The 24205-nt window shown below is 44.5% G+C and overlaps 1 long non-coding RNA gene across 1 annotated transcript in view, besides 2 other annotated features; it reads right to left on the reverse strand.

Annotated features, from left to right (window-relative positions):
• Nucleotides 1-24205, reverse strand: part of VSTM2B-DT (VSTM2B divergent transcript) — a 238742-nt gene that overhangs the window by 71243 nt on the left and 143294 nt on the right. The gene's annotated exons all lie outside the window — the stretch shown is intronic.
• Nucleotides 13316-13910: an enhancer, noted in NCBI's record as "H3K4me1 hESC enhancer chr19:29862474-29863068 (GRCh37/hg19 assembly coordinates)". NCBI's record gives its function as "activates a minimal SCP1, AML or CMV promoter by ChIP-STARR-seq in primed H9 embryonic stem cells {active_cell/tissue: H9 hESC(primed)}" and the evidence as "EXISTENCE:reporter gene assay evidence [ECO:0000049][PMID:30033119]".
• Nucleotides 13911-14503: an enhancer, noted in NCBI's record as "H3K4me1 hESC enhancer chr19:29863069-29863661 (GRCh37/hg19 assembly coordinates)". NCBI's record gives its function as "activates a minimal SCP1, AML or CMV promoter by ChIP-STARR-seq in primed H9 embryonic stem cells {active_cell/tissue: H9 hESC(primed)}" and the evidence as "EXISTENCE:reporter gene assay evidence [ECO:0000049][PMID:30033119]".

Consider the following 24205-nt stretch of genomic DNA (forward strand, 5'->3'; position numbering starts at 1 on the left):
TAACATGCAAAAGCACAAAATTCAATGGTATTAAAAAATAGAGGCATATTCAGAATATTCAAGAACTATAATTATGGTGTGTAAAGCAATCTTATTCTTAGTACAAGGGTTAGAAGACAAAACTGTTAATAACTAGTATAGCTGAAATGAGTAGACAAGGGATACACATTACAAAATGATGTAATTTCTAACATTGGAAACAAAATGGGTGGGAGAAATAAAAATGTAGAGTTGTTTTATGTAATCAAAGTTAAGTTGTTATCTGCTTGAAATAGGCTGCTTTAAGTATAAGATGTTCTATGTAAGCCATATGGTAACCACAAAACAAAAAATATTTAGTAGAAACACAAAACAAAAATTGAAAGACTTAACAGTATACCACTACAGAAAACTATCAAGCCACAAAGAAAAATAGCAAGAGAGGAAGAAATAAAATATCATAAAACAACCAGAAAACAGTTAACAAAATAGTAGTAAGTCCTTATCTATTAATAATTACCTTGAATGTAAATGGACTAAGTTATCCAATGAAAAGACGGAGTGACTGAATGGATTTTTTAAAAGACAAGACACAACTATACGCTGCCTAAAGGAACTCATCTCACATAGACTGAAAATGAAGGGATAAAAAATGATTTTATGCAAATGGAACCAAAAGAGAGCAGGGATAGCTACACTTACATCTGACAAAATAGACTTTAAGTCAAAAACTGTAAAAATAGACAAAAAACATTATATAATGATAAATGAGTCAATTCACCAAAAGGGTACAAAAATGTAAACACATATGCACCCAATATTAGGACACCAAATATATAAAACAAATATTAAAGGATCTGAAAGAAAAGATAGAGGGCAATACAATAATGGAGATTTCAATATCCACTTTCAACAATGAACAGATCATCCAGACAGAAAATTAAAAAGAAAACATTGGACTTGAACAGCACTTTTGACCCATGGACCTAAAAGGCATACACAGAACATTGCATTCAATAGCAAAAGAACACACATTTTTCTCAAGCCATACATGGAATATTCTCCAGGATAGATCACATGTTAGATCAAAAAAACAGCCCTTAGCATATTTAAGAAGATGAAATCATGTGAAGTACTTTATGACCACAATAATATAAAACTAGATAACAAAAACAGAAGGAATTTTGGAAAATTTGCAAATACATAAAAAATAAACAACATGTTCCTGAATAATCAACTGGTCAGTGAAAAAAATTAAAAGAGAAATTTAAAAATACCTTGAAACAAATGAACATAGATACACAACATACCAAAACTTATGGGATACAGCAAAAGCAGTTATGAAAGAAACAGCAAAAAATGCCTATATCAAAAAAAGAAGAAAGATTTTAAATAAACAACTTGATATTACTCTCCAAGTTACTAGAGAAAAACTAATCCCAAAATTAGAAAAAAGAAGGAAATAATAAAATAATAAAAATCTGAGCAGAAATAAATGACACAGAGACAGAAAAAAATACAATCAAAAAAGAAAGAACTTTTTTTTGAAAAATTAACAAAATCAACAAACCTCTAGCTTAACTAAGAAAAAAAGGGAGAAGACTCAAATAAATAAAACCAGAAATGAAAGAAAAGACATTATATCTGATACCACAGAAATGCAAAGAATCATAAGAAACTACTATGAACAACTATATGCCAACAAATTGGATAACCTAGAAAAAAAAAGATACATTTCTAGACACATGTAACCTACAAAGACTGAATCATGAAGGAATAAAAAATCTCAACAGACCAATAATAAGTAAGGAGATTAAATCAGTAATAAAGAGTCTCCCATTTGAGAAAAAGCCCAGGGCCTTATGACTTCATGGATGAATTCTACCAAATATTTTAAAAAAAAGAGCTAACATCAATCTTTTTCAAATGCTACCCCCCAAAGAAATGGAGAAGAGGGAATATTTCTCAACTCTTTTTTATAAGGCCAGCATAACCCTGACACTAAATCCAGACGAGGACATTACAAGGAAAGTACAGGCCAATATTCTTGATGAACATAGATGCAAAAATCATCAACAAAATACTAGCAAATCAAATTCAACAGCACATTAAAATGGTCACTCACCATGATCAAGTGGGATTTATCCCTTGGTTACAAAGATGGTTCAATACATGCAAACCTATAAATGTAATACACCATATTAACAGAATGAAGGACAAAAACCATATGATCATCTCAATAGATGCATAAAAAGAATTTGACAAAATTCAGCATTCTTTCATGATTAAAAACTGTCAAGAAATTACGTATAGAGGTAATGTGCCTCAGCACAATAAAGGCTATATATGACAAGCCCACAGCTAACATTATACTCAATGTTAAAAAGTTGAAAACATTTCCTCTAAGATCTGGAACAAGAGAATTATGCCCACTTTTACTACTTCAACTCGACTGAGTATTAGAAGTTCCCATCAGAACAATTGAGCAAGAGAAAGACGTAAAAGGCATTCAAATAGGAAAGGACAGAGTAAAATTGTCACTATTTGCTGGTGACATTATCTTATATATAGAAAACCCTAAAGACCCCACCAAAAACCTTTTAGAACTAATAAGCAAATACAGTAAACTTACAGGATACAAATTCAACATTAAAAAATCAATAGCATTGGCCAGGTGCAGTGGCTCACACCTGTAATCCCAGCACTCTGGGAGGCCAAGGTGGGCCGATTGAGGTCAGGAGATCGAGACAATCCTGCCTAACATGGTGAAACACCATCTCTACTAAAAATACAAAAATTAGCCAGGAGTGGTGGTGCATGCCTGTAGTCCCAGCTACTCAGGAGGCTGAGGCAGGAGAATCACTTGAACCCAGGAAGTGGAGGTGGCAGTGAGCCAAGATCATGCCACTGCACTCTGGCCTGGGCTACAGAGGGAGACTCCGTCTCAAAAAAAAAAAATATTAATAGCATTTCAGCCAGGTGGGGTGGCTCACACCTGTAATCCCAGGACTTTGGGAGGCAGATTGCTTGAGATCAGGAGTTTGAGACCAGCCTGGGCAACATAGTGAGACCCCCATCTCTACTAAAAATACAAAAATTAGCCGGGTGTGGTAGTGTTTGCCTGAAGTCCCAGCTACTCAGGAGGCTGAGGCACAAGCATCACTTGAACCTGACAGGTGGAGGTTGCAGTGAGCTGAGATTGCACCACTGCACTCCAGCCTGGGCAAGAGAGTGAACTCGGTCTCAAAAAAAAAAAAAAAAAAAAAGAAAGAAAAGAAAAGAAAAAAAAGAAAAGGAAAAAAAAAGAAAGAAAAGAATAAGAAATCAGTAGCATTTCTATACACTAAAAATGAACTATCCAAAAAAAGAGAAATCCCATTTACAATAACTACACACACACACACACACACACACACACACACGTAATACTTAGAAATAATGTTAACTAAATAGGTCAAAGACCTTTACACTGAGAACAAAACATTTATAAAACAAATTAAATAATATACAAATAAATAGAAAGCTATTCAGTGTTCATAGCTTGAAAGAATTAATACCATAAAAATGTCTATTATACCAAAAGTGATCTACAAATTCATGCAATCCTATCAAAATTCCAATGTCATTTTTCACAGAATAGAAAAAAAATCCTAAAATTTTGTATGAAACAACAGAAAAACCCAAATAGCCAAAGCAATCATCAGCAAATAGAACAAAGCTAGAGGCATTACACTACGTGATTTTAAATTATACTACAAAGCTATAGTAACTAAAACAGCAGGGTACTGGCATAAAAATAAAGACATTGACCAATGGAACAAAATAGCCCAGAAATAAATCCATACATGTACAGTTAATTAATTTTTGGCAAAAGTGCCAAGAATACACCATGGGAAAAAGATAGTCTCTTCAGAAAATAGTGCTAAGAAAAGTGTAAGTCTACATGCAAAAGAATTAAATTGGACTCTTTTCTGACACCATATATGCAAATCAACTAAAAATGGTCTGAACACTTAAATGTACACTGAAAACTGTAAAACTGTAAAAAGAAAATACAGGGGAAAAACTGCATAACATTAGTCTTGGTGACGATTTTTTAGATTTGGCCCAAAAAGCAAAAATAGACAAATAAGATTACAACAAACTTAAAAATTTCTGCATAGTGAAGGAAACAATTAACGATGTGAAGAGACAGTCTGCAAATTGGGAGAAAATATTTGCAATCCATACACTCAATAAGGAGCTAATATTCAAAGTGTGTAAGGAATTCAAGCAACTCAGTAACAAGAAAACAAATAATTCAATTTAAAAATGAGCTGGGTGCGGTGGCTCACGCCTGTAATCCCAGCACTTTGGGAGAACAAGGTGGGCAGATCATGATGTCAAGAGATTGAGACCATCCTGGCCAACATGGTGAAACCTCGTCCCTACTAAAAATACAAAAATTATCTGGGCATGGTGGCACGCGCCTATAAAAATTAGCTAAGCATGGTGGCGCGCACCTATAGTCCCAGCTACTCAGGGGGCTGAGGCAGAAGAATCACTTGAACCAGGGAGGCGGAGGTTACAGTAAGCCCAGATCACACCACTGCCCTCCAGCCTGGCAACAGAGCTAGCGAGACTCCGTCTCAAAAAAAAAAAAAAAAAAATGAGCAAGGGGACTAAACACACATTTCTCAAAAGATATACAAACGGTCAAAAGGTATTTGAAAAAATATTCAACTTAAGTAATCATCAGGAAAATGCAATTTAAAACTACAATGAGCTATCATCTCACACCAGTCAGAATGGCTATTGTCAAAAAGACAAGCAATAAGAAGTGTTGGTGAAGATGTAGAGAAAAGTAAACCCTTGTACACTGTTGGTGGGAATGTAAATTAGCATAGTCTTTATGGAAAACTGTATGATGTTCCTTTAAAAATTACTAATAAAGCTGCCATATGATCCAGCAATCCCACTTATGGGTATTTACCCAAAAGATTTGAAATCAGTTTATTGAAGAGACATCTGCACTCTCATTGTTATTGCAGCACTATTCACAATAGCCAAGATATGGAATCATCCCAAGTGTCCATCAATGGATGAATGTGTAAAGAAAATGTGGTGCACTTATACAATGAAATATTATTCATCCATAAAAAAGAATAAAATTCTATCATTTGCAGCAACATTGCAGGACCTGGAGGGTATATGCTAAGTGAAAGAAGCCAGACATGGAAAAACAAATACTACCTGATCTCACTTACATGTGGAATCTAAAATGTTAAAGAAGCAGAGAATGGAATGGTGGTTACCAGGGCCTGGGGTAGGAGTAGGGGAATGGAAAGACTTTGGTCATAGGATACAAAATTCCAAGTAGACAGGAGGAATACATTCAGGAGATCTATTGTACAGCAAGGTAATTATAGTTATATAATTATGGAGTATAATTATATACTCCATAATTGCTAAGCGAATAAGTTGATTTTAAATTTTCTCACCACAAAAAAATAAGTATGGGAAGTAATGAACATGTTAATTAGCTTGATTTAGTCATTCCATAATGGATACATATCTCTAAACATCAATTGAAAAATAAACACGTAAATAGTAAAATAGAAATAAGTTAATCCACACATGCACACCACATTTCACCTGGCAGTTCTACTTAATCTATTATATAACGTGCATCATCTAATATCTTAAACAATGTGCCACATCTAATATGTTATACAATGTGCTTCTTTATCTCACTGTGCTTTTCCCACTAAAATGTAAGCTTGACAAAGGCAAGGATTTTTACCTTTTTTTCCCTGTTGTGTCTCTGGCCACTCTTACAGTTGGGCACTAAATAAATATTGAATGAATAAGTGGATGGAGAGAGGGAAGGAAGAGAGGAAGGAGGGAGGAAAAGAAGGGAGGGAGGACGAGAGAAAGAAAGGAGAAGGAAGAAAGATAAAGAAAGGAGGGATAGAGGAAAGGAGATGAGAGTGTTATGTGCTCCTGAGTATGAGGATGACGATACGACATCTCGTGTTTGGGTACTGAGTTGGATTTTAAAATCGCATGGTGCAGTAGCACATAGCAAACATTCAAAGACTGTGTGCTGCCTTAATGAACAAGCTTCCTTAACTTGCGTCTTCCACTTCCCTTAATTACTGCAACCTCCTCTTTTTCCTCCAACCAGAGAAGGTCTGTAATGGAATTCTTGTGCCTTCAGGGGGCCACAGGACAAAATCTGCAGCTGGAGGATCACTTCCTATCTCTACTTCCTCCTGGCAGAAGGCAGAGCAAGCCCCCTGAGCATTCCAAGCCCCTGCTCCGATGTACCTTGTCAGGGTTAAAAGCACAGCAGGTTGGTGTGTGCGGAGACCGGTAAATAAGAAACAATGGCTTTGGTGTTTGGAATGTAGAAAAGCTGCTCAAATCGCTCAGGTGGGTGCTCTATGAAAGTAAACTTCCATTGGTTCCAGTTTTATTTCATCTTGCCTGTAAGTGCGAAGATTGTTTACAGAGGCATGCCCACCGTCCTAGGCCCATAGTAGGACCAAAATGTTGATGCTGAACATTTTTGTTTTCTATGTTTGCTTTAACTGGGGAGTCACAAGTTCAAACAGCCACAGGAACCAATCCTGGGGTGAAGAGTAGGCTGTGTTGGGGACTGTGGTAAACTAGACGGCTCATGCTGACACCCAGTTCCACTGAGGGTGGCCACGGATGTAGGGTTGCCAGAGTTGTCACATCTCCATCTCTCTCTCTCTCTCTTTCTCTCTCTCTCATTCTCTCTTTCTCTCTCATTCTCATTCTTCCTCTATCATTCTCTCTCATTCTCTGTCTCATTCTCTTTCTCTCATTCTCTCTCTCATTCTCTGTCTCATTCTCTTTCTCTCATTCTCTCTCTCATTCTCTGTCTTTCTCATTCTTTCTTTCTCATTCTCTCTCAGTCTCTGTCTCATTCTTTTCTCCCATTCTTTCTCTCTCCCATTCTCTCCTTCTCTCTCTCATTCTCATTTTCTCCTTTTCTCTCTCTCATTCTCTCTCTCTCGCATTCACTCTTTCTCTCAGTCTCAGTCTCATTCTCACTCTCATTCTCCCTTTCTCTCCCTCATTCTCTCTTTTTTCTCATTCTCTCTCATTCTCTCTCACTGTCATTCTCTCTTTATCATTCTTTCATTCACTCTCCTCTCTCATTCTCTCTCTCAGTCTCTGTCTCATTCTCTCTCATTCTCTCTTCCTCTCTCTCATTCTTTCTCCCCAAGATAAGCTGAATGTCTGAATTTTCTGTGAAATGTAATTTTTAAATGCTAGAAAATGACCTGATTTGCTTTGAAACACCTATATTTAGATTCTGTATTGTTCATTTATTTATGTATACAGTACAGAGTTGTGCAAGCATCACCAGAATCTAATTTTGAGTACATTTATATCATTTCAGTAAGAAATAGTGTGCCCCTTAGTGGTCACCCCTTCATTTTTCTCCTGTCCCCCACCAAGCCTAGACAATATTTTCTGTCTGTATAGATTTGCCTATTCTGGACGTTTCATATAAATGAAATAATACCAAACATGGTCTTTTGTGACTGGCTTCTTTCACTTGGTGTAGTGTTTCGGGAGTTATCTTTGTTTTGGCCTATATCAGAACTCTATTTCTTTTTGTTGGTGGTGGTAAATAATATTCTATTGTATGGCTACATGACATTCTGTCTGTTTATTCATTAGCCATCAAACAAGCATATCACAGGCTGGTCCCAGCCCTGGGGGACCCATTTTTCACCATGCAACAGCCTCCTGGCTGGTGTCCCCATCTCCTGTTCAATCCCCCTGCCCTCTGCTGACACAGGGTGTGCATGCAACCAGCCAGACAGCCCAGGGTAGAAATATTGGGACAATTTTTCTAAACCAAGGCTTTGAGCATGTCACTCTCCTCCATCCCCACCTTTATGCTGAAATCACCCTCCTCTCTTGGCTTCAGAGTGGAGCTCCAGCCCCTTAGTCCAAAACAAAAACTTTTGCAAGAGCTGGCCCCACCACCCTCCACACCCTTCCCTGCTCACAAACCCTGTGCTCCAACACACCATGTCACCCTCTCCTCTCAAAGCCTGAGCATGTCCAGTCCTCTGTCCCCTTGCTCATGCTGTGCCACTGGTGTGTAATTCACCAATTGTGGGTCATTCTCCTCCACTGAGTGGGGAACTGTTCTGGAAGGAGAAGGGGTATTCTCTGTCCTCAGGACTTGGGACAAAGCAGGTACATAATGAATGTCTGACGGTGGAATAGACACAGGCCATTCCTCCATCTAAAATGCCCTTCCCTACATTGTCCATCTCACATTTGACAGCAGCTCTCCTTGCTCACCCACACCTGATCCAAGCACTGATTATCTAGTTCGTCTCTGTGCTCATGCAGCACCTAGCTCTGTGTGTGCGTGCATGTACGTATGTGTGTGCGAGCGTTTGCGTGACTTCATCAGATTTCAGTCCTTGGGGACAAGCTTTTCCCCATATTGTTAAAAATTCAGTCTGTGCAATAATTTGTTGAGGCCTAATTTGCATGCACTGAGATGCAACCATTTAAGTGTATAGTTTGATGTGTTTCAAGAAATGTTCACCTGTGGATTATACTCATGTAGCCACAGCTGCCATCAAAATATAGAACATCCCCATCACCCCAGAAAGCTCTTCTGTGCCCCTTCCAGGTCAATGCCCTCACGCCCCATCCAAGGCAACCACTGATCTCTCCTGACACCACAGCTCAGCGTTTGCGGCTGTGGGGCTTCATAGGCACGGACTGAGGCAGCAGACAATCTTGCGTGTCTGTCTTCATTTGCGCGGCGCAGCATCTGTGAGATTCAGCCATGCAGTCGGGTCTGTCGTGAATTCACTCTTTTTGCCCCATTCCCAGCACAGTGCCTGAGTGTCAAATTGAATAGACTTCAATTGCTGTGAGGTGATTAATAGCAAATTGTGTGTTATTCATGAATAAAGAAAAAAGATGCAACGTGTTCTGGGAGGTGGAAAAGAGAAAGAAACCCACCCCGACCCCGCCTTTCTGTTCTCACCTAACGAAGTCTGGAGTTCAGCAAGAAAAGGTGTGAGGGGGTTTTTCAGGAAACAGATAGGCCACCAGGGTCCAAATCAGAGGTAGAGTGGCACATCCAGCCCAAATGGAAACAAACGATGCAAGCCTATGGCTTAAATCAGAAATTAATCTCTACTGGTAGTTTCCATGAACTCTTCTCCAGGTAAACATCACATGTAAAAGTAAGTTCCTGTCATTATAGAATAATTAGATTATAAGAACTAAATTTATAGTGTATACTACGCATTACTGCAGAATTGTAGAAATTATGCAACCCAGTCCTTAACAGAATTAAATGGGAATCTATATTTTTTCTCAGTAAGTCTTTATTGAATGAATGGAGTCATATTCTGTTTGTGTTTTTCTGTGCTTTTGCAATTTCTCAAATTAAAGATAAATAAACGGTCTCTTCTTGGCCTCGTGGCTAAGATCAAGTGTAAAGACAAGTAAATGGTAGTTGAATGAAAGAAACCAGGAAAAGTTATTTTTGGAGTGTGTAGGGTGTGCCTCGCCTCCTTGGACCCACCTCGTTTCTCCCAAGAGCAGACCCAGATACACTAACTCGATCTGCCTCCCGCCTCCTCCTTCTGCTTTAATCAACTGTGGGTCCTGCTCTCTTCAATGCCTGCGTGTCAGCTAAGTTTGCAATCACCCCGTTTACAGCTTGAAAATGAAGCCCTGTCTTTTCTGCAAGTAAGAATCTTCCTGAACCATGCATCCAAATGTCACATTTCCAAACATGTTGTGAGCTGAGGACTCCAAGTCATAAACTTCAAAGCAAGTACTTGTAATGGGAATTCTGACTGACAGTCCCTTAATTACAGTCTTTAAATATGCACAGTCCCTGACGGAGCCAGGCTTTCTGAGGAAAATTCCTGCCTAACTGGTTGAAAATGTGAACAGTGGGGTATAATTCCCTGAGCTGCAAGGAGCCACAGATCAGAGAAAATGCAAGAGAAACTCTAAAGACCCTTGTAGGATGAATTTTGTCTTTTGCAGGCGGTATGAAAACCGAAAGAGGGGAGACAACTGGGACAAGGAGAAACAAATATTTCCTGTGCTTGAAGCTGACACACATGGTTTATTTGCCGGTGTTTGGAGAGGTTAGAAAGCAAAGATAGCAGAGGAAGAATAGGTTTATCCTTGAGGACAGAACATGCATGCTGGTGAGTGGGAAGGGACTAAAAACAAGGTGGCTGGGCCGGGCGCAGTGGCTCATGCCTATAATCCCATCATTTTGGGAGGCCTTGGAGGGAGGATCACTTGAGGTCAAGAGTTAGAGACCAGCTTGGTGAAACCCCGTCTCTATTAAAAATAAAAAATTAGCTGGGTGTGGTGGCTCGTGCCTATAATCCCAGCTACTACTCAGGAGGCTGAGGCAGGAGAATTGCTTGAACCTGGGAGGCGGAGGTTGCAGTGAGCCTAGATGGTACCACTGCACTCCGGCCTGGGCAAAAGAGCAAGATTTCGTCTCAAACAACAAACAAACAAAAAATGACAGGGTGGCCCAAAACAAGGCAGTCCCACTGATCACGGACTCCAGTGACATTAACAGAGACCAGGGGGACATGGTTGCCCCTGTGTGCCCTGGGTCACATCACAGCCACTCCTTATTGGCCCTAGCCACAGGATGTGCTATGTCTCAGGCAGTGGCGTGTGTGCAGGTAACTTCTCCATCAGAGCCCCAGAAGGCAGCATGGCATCAGGTTTGGCAGTCTTATGCCACGTTGAGATCAGAGACCTTGTTTTATTAGCACAGGGTGCTCAGCCAACAAGAATGTCAAGCTGGTGTTTTTGCTACCACAGCCCCAGTTTAATGACAGAGAGTAACCTTGATATGTAGTTTGGTGACCAGTTAGGCAGGAAATTTATGGCAAAACACAGAAATGACCACACTGGAGTGGATTTAAGTCCTGATGCTGCCAATTAACAGCTATGTAGCTTTGCCCTTGGGCCAGAGTTACCACGTAAAACACAAATATCCAGCTAAATCTGAATTTCAGATATATAACAGATAATTTTCCACATATAACACATACTAAAACATTATCCATTGTTTATCTAAAATGCAAAGGTAACTGAGTGCTCTGATTTTAATTTGCTAAATCTGGCCAACGACTTTCTCTTGCTGAACCTCATTTTCCTACTGTTTCCAAGTGGACAGCAGTGCATGTCTCAAGGGGGTTTGAGACCAGCTGAGATGCTGCTGGCCCAGCACAGGGTTCCTACACTATGAGGGTGATCAACTGAGCTCTCAGTGCTTCTTCTCCCTCAGGATCTTTGTCTGCCTTTTAGCTCTTTCCAAATGTTAAACTTTCCATAAAGGCCAATGTTATGTGTCCCCCATGGCAGAACATTTCTTTTCTCACCATAGAAATCAATTTATTGTATATTTCAAAATAACTAAAAGAATGAAATTGGAGTGTCCCTAACACAAAGAAATACTCAGTGCTTGAGGTGATGGATACTCCAGTTGCTCTGATCTAATCACAACACATCATATGCTTGTATCAAAATATCATCTGTACCCCATAAACATGTGAAACTATTATGCATCCATGATTAAATATAAAAGTGAATAAAAAAGAAAGTACAAGAAACTCAGGGTCAGAGGTAGGAAAGGAAGGCAGGACTTGAAGGTGACCTTGATGTCTCCTCAATCCCAAGACTTATCTGATGATACTGCTCTTCCCCCACCCCATGGTTCCCTTTTTGGCTGTCAAATAGCATTCTGAGCCAGGCATGGTGGCTCACGCCTGTAATCCCAGCACTTTGGGAGGCCAAGGCAGATGGATCACCTGAGGTCAGGAGTTTGAGACCGGACTGGTCAACATGGTAAAACCCCATCTGTACTAAAAGTACAAAAATTAGCCAGGCGTAGTGGCATGCGCCTGTAGTCCCAGCTACTAGGGAGGCTGAGGCAGGAGAATCACTTGAACCCGGGAAGCGGAGGTTGCAGTAAGACAAGATGGTGCTATTGTACTCCAGCCTGGGTGACAAAACAAGACTCCGTCTCAAAACAAACAAATAAGCAAACAAACAAACAAACAAAGAGTGTTCTGTATATCTCTTTCAGAGCCAGAAGATGTGGTTGGTGTGTCTCTAATCAAGCTCCCTGCTTTTGAAAGGGCCAGGGAGGGAAATATTGCCGACGAGATCCACTCGGAAGTGGAAATATGCACTGAGCTCCTCCCGCCCACTCGCCTTGCACACTTTGGCCAGGGAGTCCCACTAACCACTGTCAGCAAACACAGCTTCAGAACAGCTCCAGCCATGTTTTACGCCATTCTGCCGCATCCAACATAATGTCTAACTACATACGTGCATCAATAATCTTTTATGACATCATAATGCATTTTAGTGTGTGGATGGTTATGATCTTTTAGAGGCCCCTATTTAGATCTATGGAGCAAAATAGGAAAGTTTTTAAAAAATGTAATCTAATTAATCTAAGCGCACTTGGATGCCTATTAAAATTCACCTGTCCAGGATTTTCCATTTATCATAATTACTAGGGAACAGCCATTCTGAGAAAGGGGCCGCCTCTTCATTTAATACAAAATGATGATATATTATCCTGATGCTTTTAGGAATGGTTTAGACATAATGGATAGGTCTGTGTGACGAATTCTGTGAATTAACGCTGTACAATTAGACATGTTGTTCTTTCATGTAGAACACACCTCCAAGATGGCCGGGAGACACAGATCATGGAGTGTGGACAAAATGGCCCCATGGAGCCACCAGCAGGGGAAGGGAGACCATCCCTTAGGTAGCTGGCAGGTGGGCAACCTCTCTCTGATTGCAGATGGCAAGGCCACTGGCCCCCAAACAGTGCCAGCGTCCCTCCATGAAGCTTGGCATCACTCAGCATGGCCTAGGGAGATGCGTCTTTTGAGCTATCAATTCCCCAGGATTGGTACCCCCGATCCAGAATTGAGACAGAAGAATAGGGTCTGGAGACAACAAGCCTAAAGCCAACCTGAGGGTGGCTTCTTGGAATTGGACCAAAAGGAAAACCCCACCTCTCCATGCCCAAGTGACAAGAGGTCAGAGACCCCACCCTCTACAAAACACCGTCTCTCCTACATCACAAACAGGAAATATCTGATTGATTGATCATGGGCCAATCCTTCATTTGCATAGAGTGTAACCAACTGGAGGCCTCTAAAGAGTATCTAGGGGTGTTACCAAATTCTTCTAGCTTAATAAAAACCCTAAAGAACATTCCAATCAGGGCTTTTGAGCCGCTTGCTCGAGTCCACTCCCACTCTGCAGAGGGTAGTTTTGCTTTAATCAATCTGTGCTTTTGTTGTTTCATTCTTTTATTGCTGTATTTGTGCATTTTGCTCAATGAAAAAACTCACTGTCAAGACTTTTCAGCCAGTAACAGAAGGAGGTGCTTCCTTTCATGAGTATAAGCAGCAGGCACTTGCCCTGGGGCCTCCTTCCCTTATTGGGCCTAGGGAGCAGCTTTCCTATTCAACCACACCCAAGGGCAGCATTGCTCATCTGGGAGTCCACTTCCCCTCAACCTGCAAACCCTGCAATTGGGAGGCAGAACCCTGATGCTAAACTGAGCAAACCTGCCAGGATATCACCGGGAAGGGAGTTGCCAGGGACCTGGGGGTCCCCAGAGATGAGAGGCCAGACCACATGGATGCACTCAGTCTCTTTCCAGACCCCTGCCAAGCACCACAGAGTGCCGAGCCTCCCCTTGTCCCGCCTGCAGACAGGAAGGGCCGGCATGTCCAGTGGAACTGGCCCAGAGCTGCAAGCCTTGGATCTGCCTGGGCCCTCTGCAAGGTGGAGGCATTTCTCGGGTAAAGCAGTCCTTTACTGCCTGTATGGGGCCAACTGTTCTCCCCTGCATGGCACAGGGCTCCATTCTCGGTAACCACAGCCCTGAAGCGTTTAGGAAATGCCCCCAACACTTCACCCCCCACTGAATTTGTTGTGATGGGGCTTCCATGTGGCCTGGGAACGGCCTCTGTGTGGCCTCTGGGCTCCCCCAGGGCGCACAGAAATCAGAGCATCCCAGAAACAGACCTTGGGTCAGCCAGAGGGGTGGACCCAGAAATCCCACAGGTACCAACACCTGCATCCCCCTGTAGCTGCTGAAGTGTGAGGGGGACAGAAAAACCCAAGTGGCTAGAGCTCCTGGTCCGTGTGCTGGTTGGGGAAGACCCAGGAGAAAGAAGGAAGTGACCAGATTGTAGGTAACAATGTGGCCTGGCCTACCTGCAGCTGGGCTATTCTTCAACATTGGTGTCTGAGTCAGGGACGGGCTGTCTCTCCATCCAGCCTCCTTCCTGGCCCCAGGCCTTTCACTCTCTCCATCATCCTGATAAAACTCCCATGACACACCCTCTCTATGCAGTGGCTGTCAAGTGTCAGGGCTGTCAGGCTGTGATGAGAAACACAAACTCTCTGCCTTCGAGAAGTGTGAAAGGCGGCTTCATTCAACCCAACATCCAGCCCCACAGGTGTTCTATGTCTGCTAGGCACAGTTTTTTCTTTCTTTTCAATTGAAACACAGGTATGGCTTGCTCTCCAGGTTTATCCCAGCCCCCATGCTCCCCTGCAATAAACTCCTGGCCCACAGGACTTGGTATTTGTTATTTGACTGGACCCTCCAGGCTTTTGAGTGGGGAATCTCTGATCCTAAATTGCAGACACAGACCCAGTGCCAAAGAGCACACAGTCCTGGGGGTTGGGGTGGTGGGGAGGCCAAGGCACATACAACCAACTCCAGCACCAGACAGACCAAATAGCCCCCACTCTAGGGGCACAAGCCATGTGCCATGAGGAAGCAAAGGGAGGGCCAGTGGAATCCACTCGAATGTGCAGGAGGGCTTCCTGGAGAAGGAGACGTCAGAAACAAGCCCTGAGGAATGACTTAGTATCTGAGCACTGGCGATCAGGGCACACTGCGTAATCCAAGCATGGTGTGTTCAGCATTAATGAGGGTCCTTGGCAGGACTCAGTGTACAATGAGTTCACAAGACCAGTGACTTCAGCTGGGCTCCCCAGAGAAAGAGACTGATACAAGGATTCCTAGCAAGATGTGTGTTAGGAGATGATCCCAGGGCCCACAGAGGACAGAGTGGAGGGTGAGATAGGGAGGAGCAGAAAGCCCACAGAGGGTGCATTAGTGAGCAGTTACTACTGTGGGCAGCCAGAGCACAATCTTGCTGGGGACCACACCTCACAATGGCTGCACGCCAAGGGGCAGAGGAGCTGGGTCGTTTGTCCACCGACTCTTGCCAGCATTAATTGAGGGCTGCTCCTGGATGTGTTGATTCCAGGACAGTTCCAGCCAGCCACGCATGCAGGTAGCAAAGCAGGTTCCTGCAGCCAGAGAAAAGGCTTCAGCAGAGTCTTGGCACTTATGGCAGGAACCACATCGTGTGTGCATGGTGCAGGCCAAAAAGGATCTAGGAAGGGCATGCGATAGCATCATCTGCCACAGGGGAGAATGCACGGGCAGATGGGCAGGACCGTCAGAGAAGCTCTTTTTTTCCTTTTTTTCTTCTTTTTCTTTTTCTTTTTTTTTTTTTTTTTTTTTGAGACAGAGTCTCGATCTTTCACCCAGGCTGGAGTGCAGTGGCACTATCTTGGCTCACTGCAACCTCCGCCTCCCAGGTTCAAGCGATTCTCCTGTCTCAGCCTCCCGAGTAGCTGGGATTTACAGACATGCATCACCAAGCCCAATTAAATGTTTTATTTTTAGTAGAGACAGGGTTTCACCATGTTGGCCAGGCTGGTCTCGAACTCCTATCCTCAAGTGATCTGACCGCCTCAGCCTCCCAAAGTGCTGGGATTACAGACGTGAGCCACCGCGCCTGGCCCAGACAAGCCCTTCTAAGTGAAGTGCAGGCAGGACTTAGCTCACTAGGTGCAGTGGGAGGAGAGGAGCATGTTGCTTGTGCCTGGTGTGAAGCACCCCCATCTAGGGCCATAGGGACTGCTAAGCAACCCCGAAAGTTTCCATAGGCAAATCTCTCAAAGTTTCAATACATACAGGATGGCCCCTGTGACAAGTTGACCCACGGCATCTGGGTGGTCCTAGGTGGGAAGTGTGTATGGAGGTGGAGGGAGTGTGTCTGGTCTTCCGATAGCATCACTTGCCTTATGTTTGTTCCTGTCTGGCCTGTCCTAATCCTGCGGTCCTAGAGTTAGAAGGGGAGATGTCTGGGGAAGCAAAGTGTGGATGTGGAAAGTGTTTCAAGGTAAACATAAGCAGATAAGAAGCATGGCGTCTACTGGCCTCGAGCTACAGACAGAAGGAAGACGCAAAGCTTAGGGGGCACCTGTGACAGTGATCCCCACACACACCCCACCAGGGTGAAGCATTTGGTGAAGGTCCAGGTCAGATTCATCCTAGAAGTCATCAGAAGTTGCTAAAACACCTATGGAGCCTAGCACATAGTATGTATTTAATATATATTTATATAACATTTCATTTTTAAAATGCTTAACATTCAATCAAACCAGCTCTTTGGCCTTGAAGATCAAATAAGATTTGACCAAATTCAACCCTTTAATTTGTTTTCTGAGCTCTATTTCCCAAAAACAATGTTTTAGCAAAGGACAGATATGAAGTTGAGAAGAATGATTTCATAAACTTAGGAATCAAGGTTCTTTATACACAAGACAATAGAGGCTCATCACTGGTCAGTTAGTTAGACCCCACATCAGCATCTTTGGGAGTTGACTAGTCCTGGATCCCTAACACAAAATCCAAACATTCCTGCAGTTATTGACAGGCATAGATAGCCTGAGTCAAGACAATGCATCACATTAATTATTTTTATTTTATTTTTTTTTAAAGACAGGATCTTGCTGTGCCACCCAGGCTAAAGTGCAGTGGTGTGATCATAGCTCACTGTAGTGTTGACCTGCTAGGCTTAAGCCATCCTCATCCTCCCACCTTAGCCTCCTGAGTAGCTGGGACTACAGGTGTGTGCCACCACTCCTGGGTAATTTTTAATTTTTTTCTAGAGACACGGTCTTACCATGTTGCCTAGGCTGGTTGCAAACTCCTGGGCTCAAGGGATCCTCCCACCTTGGCCTCCCACGGTGCTGGAATTGCAGGTGTGAGCAACCACACCCAGCCACGTCTCATTTATATTCAAATAATTACTGACAATTGATTTTTAAGTAATTATTCTTCCCACCCGTTAGCATGGAGCTTGGACCCAACAGCAAATATCTGCCACCTAAAATTGAGATACAGCTCAACCCTCCAAATCCTTTGCGTACCCTCACCAAGGAGCCCCTCCATCCCTGCGTACACCACTCTTTCAAAGCCCAGGGCCTGGAAGGGCCTGGCTTTCACCCTGAGCTGCTTCCTTACAGAACACAGACCTGGGTTACCAACAGAGCCTCCACCATCTCCATCCTACCTCCGACCTCAGAGAGATGCCAGTAAGATGAATGCAAACTTTGCCAAGGGAAGGTCTTGAGAAAGTCAAAAGCCATCATTATTAATTCCCCGCTGTTTGGCTGGGATGGAAGCCACTGGTGCACCGATGGAAGAGGCTTGACTCCAAATAAATAAACACACGTCCTTTGGGCAGATGTCGGGCCAGCTCCGGCTGTTAACTGATGGCCCCGCACTGTGGCAGCTAGCGCAGTGTGGGCAGGCGAAGTGACACTGGCAGCGCGGAGTCTTCCGCCTCATCGCAACAAGCTTGGCCACATTTCCAAATCCATCTCTTTGAACCGACACAGACAGCTTAATGAAGCAATATTTATGGAACTGATACCACTGGGGAGATGGCTGCTCCTTCTCTCCGTCTCCTATTTTTAATATTTGATCTGGCAAACGTATTATTAAAGGAATATTTCATCTGATTACTCTTCTGTTTGACTGCGCGTCTTATTCATGCATGCTGGGTGCCAGGGGAAATTATACCGACCAGTTTGGGAGTTCTATTATGTCATTCTTCCAAACAGCCCTTTGCTCCGAGTATAATTACCATTCATGTGCAAGGCTGTGGGCGCTCTGGCTGACCTGGACCACCTCCTTTTAATCACAATGGCCTCCTCCTTCCCCTCCAGTCCCACTCGAGGCCCTTTCAGGACTCTTTTCCTGGGGACCAAGAACTTTCTTTCTTGCTGGGGACGGTGACTCCATGCCTGTAATCCCAGCACTTTGGGAAGCTGAGGTGAGCAGAACACGAGGTCAGGAGTTCAAGACCAGCTTGGACAACATAGTGAAACCCTGTCTCTACTAAAAATACAAAAATCAGCCAGGTGTGGTGGCAGCGCATGCCTGTAATCCCAGTTACTGGGGAGCCTGAGGGAGGAGAATCAATTGAATCTAGCAGATCAAGGTTGTAGTGAGCTGAGTTCCTGCCACTGCACTCCAGCCTGGGTGACAAAGCAAGACTCTGTCTCAAAAATAAATAAAAAATTTAAAAAATGAACTTTCTTTCTGAGAGTGGTCTCTCTGGATATCTGAAAAGTTGCCTTGATGTTGTTAGGGGTCTCTAAAATCACTGACTTGCTTATGAAGCTGCAGTTTCCTCATAAGGCAGAAACAGAAAAGAGATGGGTGCACCCTGGCGTGGCCTGTCCTTGGCTATGAGCTCTTCGTCCAGCATCAGCATGGTGTTCAATTTCCCAGAGGCCACCGGTCTCCTGACTCTCTGCCTTTCCTTTTGCTAGCAGCTAGCTCCACCTTGACGGTCTTGAATTGCCTGATAAATCTACCCTCTTTCTGATTGGGCAACTGGCTGTATTTCCAACTTGGCCTTAAAGGTGGGGCCAGAGGGACATTTTGAGCCCCTAAACAAGGGGAGAGCATTCAAGTGGGTGTGGCAGAATCTGGCCCCACCATCCTGGCAGAGACCCAGCAGGAGGCTTTGTGCACAAAACAGATGGGGCATGACCAGTGTGCAGGCTCAGCTCCCACTGCCCTGCTGACAAATGAGGCCAGCTCTTCACCTCTCACGAATTTCCTTGATTTTTGTTTCCAATTGTTTGCTATTTACTTTTTCTGTAAGGGCCAGATAGTAAATGCTTTAGTCTCTGCAGGCAGTACTGTCACTGCCACAACTACTTAACTCCACCGTCATACCACCAAATAAACCATAGATGCTATGTAAATGAATAAGCGTGGCTATGCTCTAATAAAACCTATGTACAAACACAGGCAGTGGGCCAGATTTGACCCATGGGCCATAGTTTCCAAAGTCCTGCTTTAGACTTTTCTGTGAATTAGGCGTGCATTTTTTACATCCTCAAATACCTTAGCCTCATAAAACTAAAGTCTTCATTTGTGAGTTTATGTATGTGTGTATAAATGTGTGTGTGTATGTGTGTGTATATATATATTCCCCTAATACATTCAAAATATTTAACTAAAAGAAAATGTTTTAAGTTATTTCATATTCCACCTGAATCCCTCCAGAAAATGCCAGATCAGATGACTGTTTCTTGAGTGTGAAAATGCCCAGGGGCCCTAAGCAAATCATTCCTTTCAGGTTTTATCAAACAGAAAAGTGAGGCCTCAAGAAGCAAACCACATGGTCCCTCAGCACAGGGTCTTGGCAGCTCCAACCCTGACTCTGCAGGGTTCCTTTCTCCTGACTCCAGGGGTCCTAGCCCAACCTTGCAGGCTATGGCAGCCTTGTCAACTCACGCTTGCTGCACGGATATCCACCCAAAGGCAGACCCTGGCTGCCATGATGGAACCCACGTTTTCAGAGGGGCTGTGTGCAATAAACAAATGAGCAAATAAAAGACATGTGATTTTAGTTAGTGATCAATGCAATGGAGGAAAAGTGAAAAGTAGGCAGGATAAGGGAATAAAGAATCCTGGGCTGTTTTAGATGATGTGGTCAGAGAGGGCATCCCTGCAATGACTCCAAGTCGATATAGGGTGGATGAGAAAAACTGAGCCACACAGAACGCAGGCAGGTGCAATCTGGACTGAGGTGGAACTAGGCCTGCCACACCCAGGACACAGGGGCAGCCAAGAGGGCAGCAGGTCCATGAGTGGGAAGGAAGATGGCTGCAGCAGAAGTTGGAGATGTCTCAGCGCCTTGCAGGTCCCACAGGTGAGGTTATGAGGTCAGGCCTTCATGCCAGCTTCTCACCAAGACTCTGGCCACTCCCCTGGTTGCTGTCAGAGCACGCCCCCTTGGCCCTAAAACTGTGGAATCACAGCTCATATTCTTGTTCTTCTTACCCATTTCTTAGCTGTTGCTTTGCAATTCTTAGAATAAAAGTAAAGTTGCAGGAAATTTCAGAGCATAAACATAAGGGTACATTTGGATAGTTGCAGAAATTCCCCAGCCAACCAGCAGCAGACAGGGCCCCACTTAATGAAACCTTCAGCGAGGGTCAGGTCCACATACCCTTTGGCAGACAGTCCAACCTCACCTGGAGTTGCTGCCAGGGGTGTGATTTCCACAGGCTTTCAGCACCGCTGATATTCATGATTTCTCAACAGCTGCCATTATACAACATTTAGATGCAAAATGGACAATACATCAAAGCAGATGTTCTTGGAAATCCTATTAACTCCAAAGGGTTTGGGAAGGCTTGGAGGCTGGCTCCTTCGGCACATTTGCAAGCGAGCTGTGTTTCAGTTCCCTTGGTGTGGGTGGATGCAGCTTTCCTGCATTCCCAATCATTCACTCAGCTCCAGAGCCAGAGCACCAAAGGCTGCAGAAATGAACACCTACACCTCACATCCTAAAAGCACTACAAGGACTTCTGTGGAGCTGAGGTCGCCTGCAAACACTTTCATTTATTTACTCCAGAATGACCAGTGTGCACGTTCTCAATGGCACCTGACAATTAACCATGAAGCAGTGCACCTAGAGCCAGACTTTCTGGAGAATTCCATGGAAAGCCCATTGTGGGGAGGAAAAATGTGACAGCAAGAGGGGAGGGCTTGCATCTTTCTAGGCATGTGGGATTGAACATCCCAAAGACTTCTTCTGCTCTGATTTGTTTACTGTCTATAAATTGCAGTGTTGGTGTGAGTAGGGCCATCTGAGGATCAAGCATGATGATGGAGGCCCTGCCCCACTGGCTACAGAGAGTGTCCAGGCCAGGATGAATGTGGTCATCATGGTTCCTACATGGTTCCTATCACGGCAGCTCCGTGCAACACAAACCCTGACTCTCCCTCCTTGCCTGCTTTTCTCCTTGGCTGGTTCCTTCTCACCCTGCAAGTCGCCTCCTCGGAGAGACCTTCCCAGGACATCCATCAGTACCTGCCCTCCCCAGCCACGTCTCTCTCTGTCCCGTCACCTAGTTTTATTGTCTTAATAACAGCACTTTCCACTAATGGCTACTTGTGTGGTTTGTTGTTTCCCACTGGTGTGGGACTCCAGGGAGGGAGCTGGCCCCTGGTACTTAGAGCTGCAGAGAAAGCCACTCCTATTATTCCCAGCCATGTGTGGAGCCCCTGCAGCTGCAGTTTGAGGACTGTGGGGTTGCTGCATGGGAAGTATAGTCAGCAAGCCGAACCCTGCACCGAGCACGCTTCACTGTTTGCTAAACTCTGACGCTGAGCTCAGAGCCGGCAAGGTCCCTCAGCTTCCAACCTGGCTGCTGCAGTAGTTTTGAGGGTCCTTGGCAGGTCACCCAAGGAAGCAGAGGCATTTCAGAATGGAGGAGACAGGAAGAGGCACATCTCAGCAAAAACTAACTTTCCCTGTGCACAGACTCACCCCTCACCCAGGTCCGCATGGAATTGAGACAGGCCGACAGGCTGGTTTCCTGTTTTAATGTGGTTTAGAGAAAAAAACAAAAGCCCCTTACTCATGCTATAGTTTACCTAATTTCCAGCCAACCAGCAACAAAGACCCAAGAAGCAGTGAGCCACGAGCTCCTGCTGTAGGGGGTTAGGGACTTCCTCCGCCTACACGTGCGGTTGGACTTAAACTCACCTTATAGTGACCTTTTCCTCCTTTTCATACTAAAAGTCACACCCGTATTACATGCAATGTATGAAGAAGGATGTAGAACCAGTACACAAGTACTAGAGAAACCTCCTATCCATGCCCTGACAAAACCCTTCCCGAAAGAACCAGCCCACATGCTACCCTCCAGAGCAGCCCGTCCTTGCCCTTTTGCAGTGCTGGCTTCCCTTGTGCAAAAGCTAAATGAAGCTTTCTCTTTCCTTAAGTGCAATGTCCGGCAATCCATCTTGATTCCTATCCTGGGAGATTGCAAGAACCCAGGGCGCTGATAACAATCCCTTCACTCATGGCTTCGTTTTCTTCATTGGTCAGTGGAAGCTGAGTCAAACTGCACTGACAAACATCCCCAATATCTCCAGGGTTTAGCACAGTGAAGGGCATCCCCGTTTTACTGAATGTCCCACATGGGTCAGCCAAGAGGACTCTGGTCCTCGTCACCCTCAGGGGCTCAGGCTGGGGAAGCTCTGTCTCCACCTGTGATTCCATGATGACGAAGTCAGAAGGGAGCAAAGCAGGCACTGGCTGTGAGGTGTCACCCAGAGGTGACACACATCACTTCCTCCATGGCTGATCCCCCAGGACCCCTTCGACTCATTCCACATGGCCCTACCCAGACACCCACCCAGAGGTGCTAGGAGTGCATCCCACCCAGTGCCCAGGGAGCAGGAATCCGGGCACATTTGGTAACAGCACAAATGACCACCACCCCTCCTGTGTCACTGTCTGTGCTGGGGAAATTGGAAAGGAACTAGTCTTATTAAGAGCATATGCTGGGCCGAGCGTCATGGCTCACTCCTGTAATCCCAGCACTTTGGGAGACCAAGGTAGATGGATCACCTGAGGTCAGGAGTTCAAGACCAGCCTGGCCAACATGGTGAAACCATCTGTACTAAAAATACAAAACTTAGCCAGATGTGGTGGCAGGTGCCTTTAATCCCAGCTACTCGGGAGGCTGAGGCAAGGTAATTGCTTGAACCCGGGAGGTGGAGGTTGCAGTGAGCCGAGATCACGCCGCTGCACTCCACCCTGGGTGACTGAGTGAGACTCTGTCTCAAAACAAAGAGCATGTGCTATGCCAGTGTTCCCTGTGCTGCACACATTTGTATCATTATTATTATCTCATGTGCCAGGAGAGGAAATCTGTCTGGAGAGGAAGGGCCTCAGCCAGGACCACGAGTGCGCAAGCAGAACAGACAGAACCCAACACTGGGGACTGGGCCCCAGGGCCTTTGCTTTTATAAATTTTATTTTATTTTTTCAGTTGGGGTCTTATTCTGTCACACAGGTTGGAGCACAGTGATGCAATCAAACTCACGGCAGCCTCCAACTCCTGGACTCAAGCAATCCTTTCTCCTCAGCCTCCTGAGTAGCCGGGACCGGAGGCAAATGCCACCACGCCTGGCTCATGTTTTAATTTTTTGTAGAGGCAGGGGTTCTTGCTGTGTTGCCCAAGCTGGTATCGAACTCCTGGCCTCAAGCGATCATTCCACCTCAGCCTCTCAAATTGCTGGGATTACAGCATGAGCCACTGTGCCCAGCTGGTCTTTGCTCTGGGCCGCAGGACACTGTCCTCTGGGCGCTGCAAGGCCGAGGCACTATGGCTCTCGTCCTCCCTCTGTCTCCAGCTGTGCGGGACTCTGGGTTTGTGGCTGAACCTCACTGAGCTTTATTTCTACATTTGTGAGGCTGGGGACTTAATTCGTGCTCTGCTCTTGACTTCAGGATTAAGCATGGGTGTTGTGAGCATCCATAAGGCCCACCGAGCTAGGAGGTCTCCAGGGAAACTGCTTTCCTCACCAGATGCCTGAAGGGTGCCCCATTCTGCAGGGGAGAGAAGGAGGCTGGGACCAGCCTGCCTGGGGACCCCAGTGGAGATCCGAGCAGAACTGGGTCCTATCAAGAGAGGAGCAAGGATGCCAGTACTTCAGAAGGCTACAGTGGCGGAGACACCTTTGAAAGCATTTTATTCTGCCAAGTCAACAACCATTTATAATCACTGTCATTTCACAATGGAAAGGGCAATGTAAGGCCAAAGGGGTGGAAAAGGTCAGAACTTGGGAAAAACTCTAATTGAATAAGTATAGCTATGCAAAACATAACTTGAGTCTGTTTTCCTCATTTCACTGCAAGTCAGGGCAAACATCAGCACAGACAAGCACCTGCCAGTGAGAACCAAAAAGCAGTCTTACCATTGACTTTTAGAGTTCTTTCGACCACAGGCC

Source organism: Homo sapiens, chromosome 19 (genome assembly GCF_000001405.40).
Source record: "Homo sapiens chromosome 19, GRCh38.p14 Primary Assembly".
In the NCBI taxonomy this organism is placed as follows: Eukaryota; Metazoa; Chordata; class Mammalia; order Primates; family Hominidae; genus Homo; species Homo sapiens.